The sequence below is a fragment of the Homo sapiens genome, chromosome 1 (assembly GCF_000001405.40).
Source record: "Homo sapiens chromosome 1, GRCh38.p14 Primary Assembly".
NCBI classification, from domain to species: Eukaryota; Metazoa; Chordata; class Mammalia; order Primates; family Hominidae; genus Homo; species Homo sapiens.
Genome location: NC_000001.11, coordinates 207,325,973 through 207,339,684, shown reverse-complemented (window position 1 = coordinate 207,339,684; position 13,712 = coordinate 207,325,973). Strand labels below are relative to the sequence as shown.

Sequence of the window (13,712 nt, the reverse complement as noted above, 5' to 3'; positions counted from 1 at the left end):
GGATTATCTTCCAAATAATCCAGGGAGTGTGGGTGAAGTGGGTATCCATGAGTTGAAAATTGCTGAATCCGAGCGAGTATATGAGGATTCACTGTACTATTTTCCCTATTTGAGTGACGTTTAAAGTTTTCCATACTAAAAAGTTTAAAAATAAATTGCAGGATACATTTTTTTAAAAACAAGAAGACAATATTATCTCCCAGGAATATGGATTGTATATCCCACAGTGAAAACAATTTCTTTTAATGGCCTGAGAGCCAAACTTACCAGATAGAAGACGGGTAGTACCTACAGACGAAGGGGAAAAAAAGGATTAACAACAAAAATTTGTTAAAGTCATTGATTTGCTAGCAATTTCATATACTATCAATAAACTACACTAGAAAACTCGAAAGCAACTCAAATTTCCACAAATGAAATAATTATAAATTTATAAAAACAATTACACATTAACTTAATCAAGTAGAATGTAAACATTACTGTCTATACCTGTTCAACAGAATCAACACTGTAAATATAAATTATGATAAAGAGTTATTGATTACCAAAACAAATGCCATTTAAATTTGGTTATAGGACTTGAGGGCAAGAAACATGTTTGAAAACTTAAACAGTAAATAATTGCTGATCCAATCCTACTAACAAGAAACTATAAGACGACTAAGTCCCTTTTAGCAGACTATATCAAAACTCAAAAATGCCATATCACCTTATTATTTATATCTTTCAATGACTACGGATGGGGCATTGCAAAAATAAATTTACTTTCAGATAAGCATATTTATAACAATAAATAAGCTGCTCTCCTAAGCGAGGTGAACACATTGACTCAAGAGTGCCATTTAGAACAAGCAATATTACTCAGCAGAAAAAGTGCAGGATTAAACTGTGCACTGGATATGAACTGGATGAATTAATCTCTAAGCCTCTAATTCCTCATCTATAAAATCAATCTGAAGATACTTTGCAAGGTTGTGGTACAGACGAGTGGCATCAAACAGAAGGTGAACGGAACATATCACTATAGTATATACTCAGTAAGTGGTGGCTACAATTTTTTTATATTGTGCCCTGAAAGAGTAAATTAATTGTACCTAAGAGTAAAATTTGATCCCAAATATTGATATATTATAATTGACTCATCAGGTTCAGTTTAAATGTCTTAAATTATCTTATACTTTTTACAGAAGGAAATATGTCAATAAAGTTAGTTCTATAACAAATTTATAAGTGATGCTTATTTCTCTTTGCCTTGCCCTATTAAAAACTGGACGTGTTCAACCTAGAAATTTTAGACCAAGAGAAGTCATAAAATTGTAAAGAAGTAAAAAAACCACATAAAGAATTAAAATTAGTATAGTAAATCTAAATTAATCAATGTAAGCCACAAAACCAATGCTGAGTGCTAAGAGGTAATGAAACATACACAGTTTCTGTAAATTATTTTAAAAATATGAAACATTATTATGTACTACTTATGGAAACATGGAGTATAAGAATGAAAACAGACAGGAAGTAAGCACATCAGTTTCAGGGCAGTAATTGCCTTAGAGGGAGAAAAATGGGCTGGGGAAATGTTTTAAGGGAACTTTAACGATAACATCCATAATGTTTAAATTCTTAAAAATATCCAGGTGCTGGCAAAATAGGCTTCAAGGTAACAATTATGAAATATATAAAATCATTTTGAAAATACGGTCATAATGGGTAAAACTATAGATAAAACACAATTACTTGGTGCCACTGAGAACCTATCGTTTATAGAGCCTTGTAATAATACGAACTATTTGAAAGGATCTCTGTATTTTCAATTACTTAGACGACACTATTGAGATGCTTTAGCAGATCTGCAACTCTAGGGAATCCGGGAAGATTCCTTAGCATACTTTGAGGGATGGATCTCTATCAATGAACCAGACCCAGGACTCAGCCTTAAAGACAGTACATATTTGGTTCTTTGAAGGGGTCTTGAATAATTCGTTGACTCCCTAAAACTACTACAGGAAACAGAATTTTTTTTTTTTTACCAATCTTAATTTAGCATTTTTTTAATGGGGCCACAGTCTTTTTCTCTATTATTGTAAATGTTTCTTTTTTTAAAGATTTGCCCTAGTACAATCCAAGTCCGCTTCCAAATAAAGTAAAAAGTATTAGTATGAAAAACCCTGGCTACAATAAATTAGAGACCATTTAATCCTGCAATCTTGGTCAAGTTCATATTTCCACCATAGCACATTAGATCCATACTCAGTAAACCTGAACAGTGTCAACTGACCTGAAGTGGTTCCACTTCCTTTATTTGGGGTTGTTTCATGAAAATGCTTGGTTGTCCTGGAAACAGGTGTACTCCGTGTTGCTGTAATATGAGCAGAAGGGAATCTTTGTGTACTCTTGAGACCATTAGTCACTGGGGAATGTACATTAGTGGACTTACGTGCTGCTGAAGGACTCTGCGTAAATGCAACTTTTGCTGTGGTGAATTTTTGGGCTGTTAGTGTGGCCTGTGTAGCAGAAGCATTTGTCATCATGGGATTCTGAGCTGCAGAAGGGGTCTTTGTAGATAGGGTTTTTGATATGAAAGATGTCTGAGCTGCTGCTGGGGATTTGGTGGCTGAATCATTTGCTCTGGTGGGTTTCTGAAGAGTTGGTAGGGTTCCTGTAGCTGAAACATTTACTATGGTGTGTCTTTGAGGTGTTGATGAGACTCCTGTAGCTGGAACATTTATTGTGGTGGGTTTCTAAGGTGTTGGTGTGACTATTGTAGCTGGGACATTTACTGTGGTGGGTTTCTGAGGAGTTGGTGGGGTTCTTGTAGCTGAAACATTTTCTGTGGTGTGTTTTTGAAGAACTGATGGAGTCTCTGTACCTTGAGCATTTGGTGTGGTGGTTTTTGTGGTGGTTTTCTGAGAAGTTGGTGAGACTTCTGTAGTTGGAACATTTACTGTGGTAGGTTTCTGAACTGTTGGTGGGACCTTGGAAGTTAGAGATTTTCCTGTGAAAGAAAAGGTTGAGAAACAAGTTAGCTAAATATTGCTGGCCACATTAACATTCTTAGCCATTGCTTGCTCTGTGGCTATCCTTTCTCTCTCCCCACAAACACCTAGGTATGACTTTCAGGAAACCAACTCTTATTGAGTATTTCTCAAGGAGCTGAAGTTCTAAGTTGCGTTTGCTTTGATATAAATTATACCTATGGGTAACTAAAGAAGACTTATACCAAAGTATACTGAGGTGCTTAAGCTGCTTCTTGTGAAATAAACAAATCAAAGAGTCACTAGTGATCTTATTCTGTGGCACATCTCTATTTTGTCTCCCAAATTATCTTTTGTGCTAATACTAAAGAACAACAGGATGTTGTTCTAGAACAACTAAGCCAACAGAGACAGTCACAGCCTTTTCTATCACTTAACCTTAATGAGCCTGAGAATTTGTTTTGTTTCACGTCTTGTTTAAAGTGATACTCGAGTCTGAGTAAAAATAACTCCTTTTAATTCTCTTGTGCTGGTTACCAACTTTCCATACACCAGTTCCTCTTTAGATTTCAGACTAGATAACAAGTCAGGTGAAACTTTCATTAAGAACATATTCTGAAAAGCATAAATCTAACAGCAGAGCAACTTTTTCAGTCTTCAGAGCCCAACTGCCATTGGGTCACTTATACAAAGTCCCCTGTTGAGGCAGTATTGGGTAGTGCCGAAGCCTGATTTCACCACGTATTAGTGAGCTCTAGCAAGTCCCTAACCCTTCTAAGCTATAGTTTCCTCATCTGTAAAATGAGGATAAAAGCAGAACAGATTGAGTAATTATTATTGAGGAAGGATTAAGGGAAATAATTGAGTAAGCTATTTCACAGTGTCTGTCCCTGAAGCAAGAGATTACATCATCCAGGATGACTGTTGCCAGCCCCATCACACACGGGATGCCCTAGGAACTCAGATGGTATCGGTCATTTTTTTCTGCCTCCTAACCTATCTCACAGGCTGCTATAAGGGATAAATTGAGTAAAACGCCTAGCAGGTAACAGCATTTAGCAGGCACTCAAACAATGATAATCATTATTAAGATAAGTAAAGTTTTTTTATGAACTTTTCATTCTAAGACCCTCCTATATAAAAACTATTCTAAATTATTCTTTGTTCTATCAAGTTAGTTCTCAGTTTTGATCCAGAGAATGTATATACTACCTTAGAGTTTAAATTTCCTAGAAGTTAATTTTTTAGTTATCTTTTCGTTACTGACATCTAGTTTAATTCCACTGTGGCTAGAAGGTATGCTCTGAATAACTTCAATCTTTTGCAATGTATTGTAGCTTAGAGCCCAGCAAAGGGTCAATTTTGGTAAATAGCCCATGCGCACTTGAAAAAACATACCTGTCATCGGTCCTAATAGATTCAATGGTCTCATATGTATATATGTTTAATTGTTGCTCAGATCTTTAGTCTCACTGATTTTTGGTTGCTTGTCCTATTAGCTATTGAGATAGGTGTGGAATTTTCTAACTATGAGTGTGTATTTGTCTATTTTTTCTGTCCATTTTTGCTACATATAGATTGAAGCTATTTTATCAAGTACATATAGATTCCAGATTATGATATATTACTGTTGAGTTGGCCTCCTTATCATTATGAACTGTTTCATCTTAAAATATACATTGATATTAATGTAACTGTGTCAGCTTATTTTGAAGGGTTAATATTTGCATGGTATATTTTTCCATCCTTTACTTTCAACTATTCTGTGTTCTTGTAATTAAACTGTGTCTCTTGTAAATAGTAAAGAACTAGGTTCTTTTTAAAATCTTTTTAAGTCTGACAATCTTGGTCAAATTGCACTTAACATAATTACTGACATACTTGGGTTTATATCAACAACCTTATTAGTTTTCTATTTCTCCCATCTATTCTGTGTTCCTTTCTGCTTCTCTCTCTCTCGTTCTCTTTTGGATTAAATATCCATTATTATTCTTTTATTAGCTTGTGATTTATGTATTCTTCTGTCATTCATTTGTAGCAACCCTAGAGATCACAATATTTATTAGACTATAAGTCAATTATGCAAACTATCACTTTTACCACCTTTTCAGTACTGCTAGAACTGTGTAACCTTTAAATGAATTTACCTCTTTCTGCCTTTCGCATTGTTATTGTGCATTTGTATTCTATGTATAATTCAGACCCCACAGGACATTACATTCACTGTTTGTAAACTCAGTATTCATTTATCCTTGTCACTGTTCATTTCCTTTTGTATTTTCATGTTTTACCTGGCATTATTTTCATTCTACTTGAAGAATTTCCTTTAGTTTCTCATTCTGTGCATGTTTGGTCTGCTAGTGCAAAGTTTTCTTGGTTTTTGTCTGAATACATCTCTATTTTGCATTCAGTTTTGAAGGATATATTAACTGGGTATAAAATTCTAGGTGAACAGTAATTTTCTTACAGTATTTTAAAGATTTCTTCTTATTGTCTTTTGGTTTGCATCATTTTTTGCTGAGCAGTAATCAGTTATACTGTTGCTTCTTTGAAGTTTTTGTTGTTTGTTTTTGCTACGAGTGGTTTTATTTTTGTTCAGCTTAGAGTTAGATTTTTTGCTAAAGTGGTTTTATTTTTATTCAGCTTAGAGTCAGAGAGCTTCTTGAATCTGTTGGCTAATGTACTTTATCAGTTTTGGAAAATTCTGAGTAAGTATCATTTTAAATATTTCTTCTGCTCCTATTTCTCTTCTCCTCCTCCTCCTTCCCCTCTTCCTTTTTGTCTCACTTTCTCTTTTTCCTAATGTGTTAGCACAGTTTAACATGTCTCAAATGTCTCAAACTTTTATCTATATTTCACATTCCTTTTTCTCTTTGTGCATCAGTTTGGGTATTTTTAACCGATCTTTCAGTTCCTAATACTGTTTCCTGCTCTGCCTGAATAGCTAAACCTATCTATTGTGTTCTTAATTTCAGATATTTTCCAGTTGTAGAATATTCATTTTACACCATTTTTGCAGATTCCAACTGAAGTTCTCTTTTCTTTTATCATCTTAAACTTGTTAATCAGTTATTTTAAGGTTCTCATTTGCTAACTCAATTATCTGGATATTCTTTATTTGGTTTTGTTTTCTCTTGATTTGGTCACATTTTCTTGCTTCCTTCCATATCTAACAGTCTTTTGTTGTATGCCAAACATTGTATATAAACCATCCGGATGATATGATATGCCTTTCTGATAAGCAGACTGCATTGAGGTAATCATATCTTCAACCTATTAGGAATTGAGCTGGGTTTCAGTTTCAGTAAGACTCCATCTACTTCTGCTCTTGCCTCTGTTCCTTGGGAGTGGCCCTTCCGGGCTTCTGACTGAAAGCCTGGCGGATTTTTGTTGTTTCACCTTTGGAAGGTGGCAGGAGATCCAGGTCTGTCCTTCAGAGTTCTCCCAGCCACCTAATGTCCTTCCCTATACAGTTTCAAAATGAGCACAGATGTGCTAAAGGGGAGACCTGTGGTATGCTAGATAAAAGCCTGTTCCTCTGGTGGGTATATGCTATCCAAATACCATCAGGTTCTGAGAGATTTCATTTTGTACTTTAGAAGCTCTGGGTCAACCTTCCCAGCCTCACATGCAGCCCCAAAATTTGCAAATGGCCTTTAGGAAAAATTGGTTCTGCATTTGAGGGCCTCAATTTCCAGTGTATTACCCTATCCCTCCATAACCATTAAAGCTTTGCTGGTTTCTCTTTCCTAGAAGTGGTCTTTTGTCTGGGTCAAGGTGAATCCTTAGTCCAGGTTCAGAATCAGCAAAGGTCCCTAGGGAAAACTGCCTTACATCAGGATGGGTTGCCTTCACCACCTGCCCCCAGGAATTTTAGTTCATTCAGACCTTGTTGCTTCCACAGCTGTATCTTATGCCTTAAAAAATATAATTTTTTGGTAATCTATTGAGATTTTATAGTCGTTTTAATGGAAGCATCAGCCTGCCATGACCTACTTGGGTACTTCCATATGGTTTTTTAAGCTCTAAATAACTGATCATTTAATAAAACTTGGAAAAATAAATATGAACTGGATCAAATGGCCAAATTAAAAAAGCACACACACTAAACTTCATAATTAAATGAATTCAAATAATACAAATTTTTACCATTTACATTGTCAAATCTCCCTAACAATCATTATCATTAAAGGTGCAAACACCACAATGATGTTGTATCAGTGGGAGACTAAATTGGTACAGTCTTTTAAAAAGCAGTGCTACTAATGGGCATGAAAAATGTAATTCACATACCTTTGTTATAAATAATTATACTACAAGGAATTTATTGTACAAATGTACTTGCATATATGTGCAGTGACAGATGTACAAGAATATTATAGCATCATTTGTAATAATAGTTCATAAAAAAAATCAAACTAGAACAAAAAACCTAAATTGTCATCAATAGAGGACTGGTTAGATAAATGAATACCCACACCATTGATATAATAAATAAAAAATATTTGTATGTTTATTTATATTCTAGAATAAAACAAAAGAATTTGTAAAAAATTGTTACCTCTCCGAGTAGGACTAGTGATAGAGAAGAGACTTTCACTTCCCATTTTGTACTCATCTCCCTGGCTTTAATATTATGTCATTATGTCTATGTATAACACTTATAATAAAAATCTATTTTAATAAGGAATTTTTAAAATTCATACTAATAAAATTTCAATTATAATTATAAAAGTAAATACTCAAATGCTTGAGTCATGTTGGTATTCACCACTACTTAAACGCCACCTATTGATACTAGGCAATGTTTAGTCCAGCTTCACTGATCTTCTAAATATTTCTTTTAAAATATATTTAAAAAGCAGTTCGAAGGATTCTGAGAGTACCTTCTGGGTATAAAAAGACATTGAAAGAAAAACGTCTAGAAGGATGAAGGAGAATGGATAATAATAGAAATTCTGGAGGCAGAAAAGAATTGAATGTTAATTCAGTGAAGTCAACAGATGGCAAGAGTTTCCCAGTTGTTGCAACAGGTATGATCACTATCTAGAGCCTTCAATCTAAGATTCTCCCTCCAATAAACCACTTTATATCTCTTTGTATAAACAAAGTACCTATATTAACTTACTGAAAGCAACATGGTATAAAACAGCAAATGTAAGCAAATTTGCCAAAAATATGAGGCCTATTTTATATATACACATCATAATATGTGTGAGTATGTGTGTGTGTGTGTGTATACAAGCCATAGACCCTTCTGAGAAGCTGTAGAAAAATTGTGTCCCACAGAAAAATACAAATATGTATATGTAAACATTTTACATTTTTTTCTTAGGGGGTTCATTGAATGTCTGCAACCCACATATAGACCTGAGGGTAAGAATAAAGCAAAAATATAACTATCCAAAGTGATTACCTCTGCATTCAGGTGGTGGGCCACTCCACTCTCCTTCATCATTATTCACAGTACAATAAATAGAGTGCTCTCCAATCATGGTGAATCCTTTATTACATGCATACGTTACAGACTGTCTATATCCATAATGGTCACGTTCCCCTTGAATTATTCCATTGTCAATTTGTGGTGGTGCTGGACAATAAATTTCTTAAAAAACAATTCCAACATCTTTTAAATAAATAAAACTAGTAAAGTATTTTTACAAATAAGATCAAAACATGTTAAAGATTATATTTTAAAGAAATCAAAATATCATTTTTCTAAATTCAGCATTACCAACAAGAGATGCTTATAAATGCCTATTAAGTAATTGGTAGTATGTGGGAGCTTTGAATGCAAATGGTGTAGAAGACAAATGCTAACCTTGAGACCAATTCATAGAAATAATAAGATTCAGAACATGTATGTAAAAGAAAAATTATAGTAAGATGTGTGCATATCAAAACGGTGCTAGGAAAAGTGAATGCTGCAGGATTTTAGAGATGAAAGCAGTGTAGTCAGAGAAGACTTGGGCAGGGAAATAGAACTTGAGTTTAAACCTAATATGTACCATGCTTTTGAGAGAGAACAGCGGAGAAAGCGTTGCTCTTCACTCTAAGAGGGAAACGCTAGCAAATGCAAGGAGTTGAAAATTCAAGCAGCATGTTTAAGAGTTAAGTATAGATCATTTTGGATACAGCAGAGATCTTAAATGTCAGGATTACATTTTGACTTCTAGAGTAAAAATTTTTAGCACATATGGACTCACAGAGACTTCACTCAAAACAATCTTACTGAGCAGCTGAACTTACAAAATAAATACAAGCAGAAGTTTTTTTAGTTATACTGTAAAAAGGGACCACTCCCTGGCAGTTACCCTGAGAAAAAATTCAATGGTTCCACATAATCTAAAGGCATGATGTTGTTGTCCTTTTTTTTTTTTTTAAGAATGAAGGCAATTTAATATGTGTGTATGCCAAATTATGTTACACCAAACATACTTAAGAACACAGAAAATACTTAGCACATTTATCAATCACTCTTTGGTCTTGGATCAAAACAAGCAGCAACAACAAGCTGTTCTGATTTACACTAACTTAGAGTGTGCAGAGACACACACACCATTGGTTCAGTTCAAACATTTTCTGAGTGCCTAACACACGCCAGGCATTTTTTTATAATTGGAAGCGCAAAGCTGAACAAGATATAGTTCCTATGTCTTAAAAGCTAGTGGGAAAAAAGATTCAGAAATGATTTCAATAAAAAATGCAAGGGTCATCCCGAAGTAGCCAGCCTGGGAATCTTTCTGATGGGCTAGGGAACTAACTCTTAGTAAGGAAAATATAGCTAAGTAAAGAAGGGGCAGCGGGGCATGGTGGTTCACACCTGTAATCCCAGAACTTTGGGAGGCTGAGGCGGGCAGACTGCTTGAGCCCAGGAGTTCGAGACCAGCCTGGACAACATGAGGAAGCCCTGTCTATGCAAAAAATACATAAATTAGCTGGGCATGGTGGTGTGCACCTATAGTCCCAGCTACAAGGGAGGCTGAGGTGGGAGGATCACTTGGGCCAAGGAGGTTGAGGCTGCAGTGAGCTGTGATCGCACCACTGCACTTCAGCCTGGGCAACAGAGTGAGACCCTGTCTCAATTTAAAAAAAAGAAAAAAAAGAGGTACATGGAAACCACAGCAGTTTGCATGTATAAGGCATAAAACATGAAGGCAAGACCTGAGTGTCAAGCAGTAGGTAGACCATGGCTGCCTTGTACACTATACTAAGGAATTTGGGCTTTTTAAGTGATAGGAGATATGAATAAGCTCTAAGGAGGAAATAGATGTCTAAGTCACATCTGTGTTTCAGATCGCTCTGGGTAAAATATGGATGAAACATTAATAGAGTGAAAGAATGGAGGCAGGAGGCCATTGCTATCAGTGTCACTCTTGAACTCAGGCAACTAAGATTGCTGCCTCAAACCCCACATTTTAAAAGGCTGTGCTCTGGCCCTCCTCTGGATGCATTTCTCCCCTGTTGGTGGGATGTTTGTAGGCTGATAGCATATACTCAATGACAGCCTGTCCTACGACTTCTCCTCCATTCCAGAACATGCTCCAGGAACTAGCACCCAGAATTCCCTGTGCCAACACCCCTTCCAGGGCCTGAGAGGGTCCCTCCCACTGGTCCATGTTCTTGAGGGTGGTCTATCCTGCTGATATACTCACCTCTAACCCAACAGACAATGGAGGGTGGATACAAGTTATGGTGGATGTGGTGGACATGTCTTGGGTATGTAGGCTGAGTTGTCCGCTTATGTGCACCAGAGAACCCATACAGTGTGGGAAGAGGAAGGGCTATTTGATACAAGGTGGGTCTTAGGCCAGCGACCTCCATTTATATTCTTGCCTGGGCCCTGAAAATGTTAGGGGTGGCCCTAATTGCAATAGTCCACAGGAGGAATAATAAACTATGCTAGAAATATACAGATGGAGAGCAAAACACAAGTTTGAAAAACAGATTGAGGAGGTAAAGCACAATGATTTAGGGATGAGATGTGGGGAGTTAAGATAAAGAGAAGGGTCTGGCATGATAGTCATATAGCAGGGATTGATTCTAGGTTAGCAGATACCATCAGTCAACTAAAATTTTGAAAAAGAAAACATTGGCAGAGAGATAAGCAAACAGGTCCTCTGACAGTGAGGCTCTATTCAGAGGTAAACTAGCAGCACCTCTGTTTTCTGTATAACTATAGACAATTAGTGAATGTGTCCACTGTTCTTTCCTTCTTCGTATCCATATTCACGCATGGACACTGAAGCAACCTCATGTGTTTATAGTCTAGGGCTACATACTTGAGGTGAAGCAGTACATTGTTTAAGAATTCACTTTCCATTCAATCTTTTTGGTATGGTCAAAACAAGTTATGTGGAAAATCAAAATGATCCTGAAAGAAGTAAGGCCTTATAGGGATATTTGAAGGCACTGGGATTGCTTAAGAACAGGGGCTCTTTCCTACAGGATGCAGATGTCAGTGGTTGCTGAGTCACAGAGAGGATAGAAGAGTCAAGGAGGAAAACATGAACATCAGAATATTCAGCATGGAGTTCAAGACACCAGATAGGGAAGCAAGGCTGTGGCCTAGATGTGCAAGCAGGAAGATAAAGTGGGTTTGCATTTCTGTCAAATTCATGACACAGCAGGTGCTTGTGAAAATACTGGCTTCAGATGGGAGACTGTTTGTCTGAACTTTGTGACATGTTGCCTGGGTCAAACAAAAGATATGGCCCAGCTTTTCCTTGTTTTCTATCTTTAATTTACTATCATTTACAATGTCTCTTACTGGACAACGAAAATGGGAAAGGTGCTACTGGGTAGCAATGATGAAAAATTTAAAAACAACTACAATGAGAAAAAAAAGGTAGTAGTATGACATCTCAAAAAGAAGGGCACATGGTGGGTGTGGCAGGGACAGGCTCCTTAATGGCACGGCTTCATTTTATTTGTCTTCGTGTCAGTTGACCGTACACGTTGCCTACCAGAGTGTCAATCGATAAATGCTTGATAAATTACACTAAATCTACTCTAGTTTTCTTCCCCTAGTAACATACAAAAACTTTAACTTATCAATAATTTTGACAATAGGGCCTTCAGAAGTCATTTGCAGGAGGGCACATTGTGTGTGGAGAGAGAGAAGGATGGAAAGAAAGCAAGCCTACATTTTAAAATGTTGCATGTATTTTATTCCTCTCAATTTCCAAGAGACATGTGTCTCTAATTGACATAAATTTGACTGGATATATATCCATTTATAATATTATTTCTGCACCATATCTTTCTTTGAGAAGATTCTCAAATACAGACACAGTATTTCTTCTTGACGGTATAAGCTTATCTCTCTAATGATAAGAATATATCACACCTTAAAACCCCTCTAGATAATTATCTCGGTTAATTATTTTAATCCTAAGAAGCAGCATGTAGGCAACACTGGATTTTAGAAAAATGCTGGGTTTGAAATAAGAGACCTGGTTAAATGCCTTCCATTGCCACTTGTTTTAGGATATGGGGTCAAGTCTTACAGACCCTCTGATTGACACTATTTTCTTACACAAAATTGTGGGGCGGAAATCTTTCACCTATCATACTTGACTTTAGAAGTAATGGTTAGACAATAAATGACCAAGTGCAATACAAACCTAAGTTTGTTTTTAATCCTCATTCTACAATTTGGGAATTGGGACTCAGAAAACTTGCTGGTTTATCTTCACAGCTGCTAAATGAAGGAACATCACTAGAAAAGGTCTTAAAATTAGCAAAGCACTCATATATTGAAAGGTGGGTTTGCTACAAATACACACTGTGCTAATATTCTTAAGGGGCAGAAATTAATTTATCATTGAGTACTCAGCCTCACAATCTGAGTGCTTAGATTTTTTAACTCTTACCTCTGCACTCTGGCAACGGGTCACTCCACTGGACAGAGCTGCCTGAAATAAGACAAAAACTAGAAGTCGAGCCAAATAATTTGTACCTAAAGCAACAGGGGAAGAAAAAAGAGTTTGTTACATTCACACATATTTGACTTTCCTCAAATTCTCCAGGTTATTATCTTAAAATATTTACTACACAATTAGGTGAATATAAAACAGTAGTTGATAAAAGTCCACACAGTAGTTTAAAGGAAAAGAAAAATTAAGTTTAAAAACGTGACATCCAAAGAGTAAAAACAGATAAGACATGTACATTTTTTATTTGCATGGGGAATATGTTAGAAAGCATAAAAGTGTTTTAAACATTTTTAAATGACATAGATGATTGAACATTTTATACCTCTGAGTTCTAAATATGGGCTTCACAGAATAATAGAATGTACTTATATTTAAAGGGTTCAAAGTACTTCCCAGATTTTGTGTTCATGACCTAACCAATATCTGTGTTTCGTATAGGAGACAAGTGATACTGATATTTTTACTTTATAAAGAATAGGGACACACACAGAGTAAAATAGAATTATTTAATTTACAGATATGAAATGAGAAAATAAATGTAAAGTTTTCAACAGTGTCTGAGACATTGATGGTACTCAATGAATGAGTTCCTTCTCCCTATACAGAGAACTTATCAAAGAACTTAGAATACTTTCACACTAGGAATGTCTTTAACTCATGCTGTTTTGTAACAGCTTGTTTGCATATAGAAAAACTCATGCAAATTCATTATTTAGGTCAACTAAAGATTGGTTTAGTATTTAACATTTGAAGATTTCTGCAAGTATCATCATCTCAAATTTTTTTATTAATCACATTTAAA

The 13,712-nt window shown here is 35.8% G+C and overlaps 1 protein-coding gene across 7 annotated transcripts in view, besides 5 other annotated features; it reads right to left on the bottom strand.

Moving 5' to 3' along the window:
• CD55 (CD55 molecule (Cromer blood group)) overlaps positions 1 to 13,712 on the bottom strand; it is a 39,289-nt gene that overhangs the window by 21,282 nt on the left and 4,295 nt on the right. For all 7 annotated transcript variants that reach the window (NR_125349.2, XR_007095644.1, NM_001114752.3 and 4 more), the window contains exons 5-9: positions 12,848 to 12,933; positions 8,389 to 8,577; positions 2,867 to 2,992; positions 2,276 to 2,356; positions 268 to 288 (exon numbers count right to left, since the gene is read on the bottom strand). Coding sequence is in view for 5 of the 7 variants with exons in the window: in NM_001114752.3 (NP_001108224.1) it covers positions 268 to 288; positions 2,276 to 2,356; positions 2,867 to 2,992; positions 8,389 to 8,577; positions 12,848 to 12,933 (503 nt within the window). In the remaining 2 variants the exon portion in view is untranslated. The remainder of the gene's footprint in view (positions 1 to 267; positions 289 to 2,275; positions 2,357 to 2,866; positions 2,993 to 8,388; positions 8,578 to 12,847; positions 12,934 to 13,712) is intronic.
• Positions 3,054 to 3,133: an enhancer, noted in NCBI's record as "active region_2445". NCBI's record gives its function as "activates an Ori minimal core promoter by ATAC-STARR-seq in GM12878 lymphoblastoid cells {active_cell/tissue: GM12878}" and the evidence as "EXISTENCE:reporter gene assay evidence [ECO:0000049][PMID:35858748]".
• Positions 3,174 to 3,233: an enhancer, noted in NCBI's record as "active region_2444". NCBI's record gives its function as "activates an Ori minimal core promoter by ATAC-STARR-seq in GM12878 lymphoblastoid cells {active_cell/tissue: GM12878}" and the evidence as "EXISTENCE:reporter gene assay evidence [ECO:0000049][PMID:35858748]".
• Positions 3,624 to 3,693: an enhancer, noted in NCBI's record as "active region_2443". NCBI's record gives its function as "activates an Ori minimal core promoter by ATAC-STARR-seq in GM12878 lymphoblastoid cells {active_cell/tissue: GM12878}" and the evidence as "EXISTENCE:reporter gene assay evidence [ECO:0000049][PMID:35858748]".
• Positions 3,744 to 3,793: an enhancer, noted in NCBI's record as "active region_2442". NCBI's record gives its function as "activates an Ori minimal core promoter by ATAC-STARR-seq in GM12878 lymphoblastoid cells {active_cell/tissue: GM12878}" and the evidence as "EXISTENCE:reporter gene assay evidence [ECO:0000049][PMID:35858748]".
• Positions 3,804 to 3,983: an enhancer, noted in NCBI's record as "active region_2441". NCBI's record gives its function as "activates an Ori minimal core promoter by ATAC-STARR-seq in GM12878 lymphoblastoid cells {active_cell/tissue: GM12878}" and the evidence as "EXISTENCE:reporter gene assay evidence [ECO:0000049][PMID:35858748]".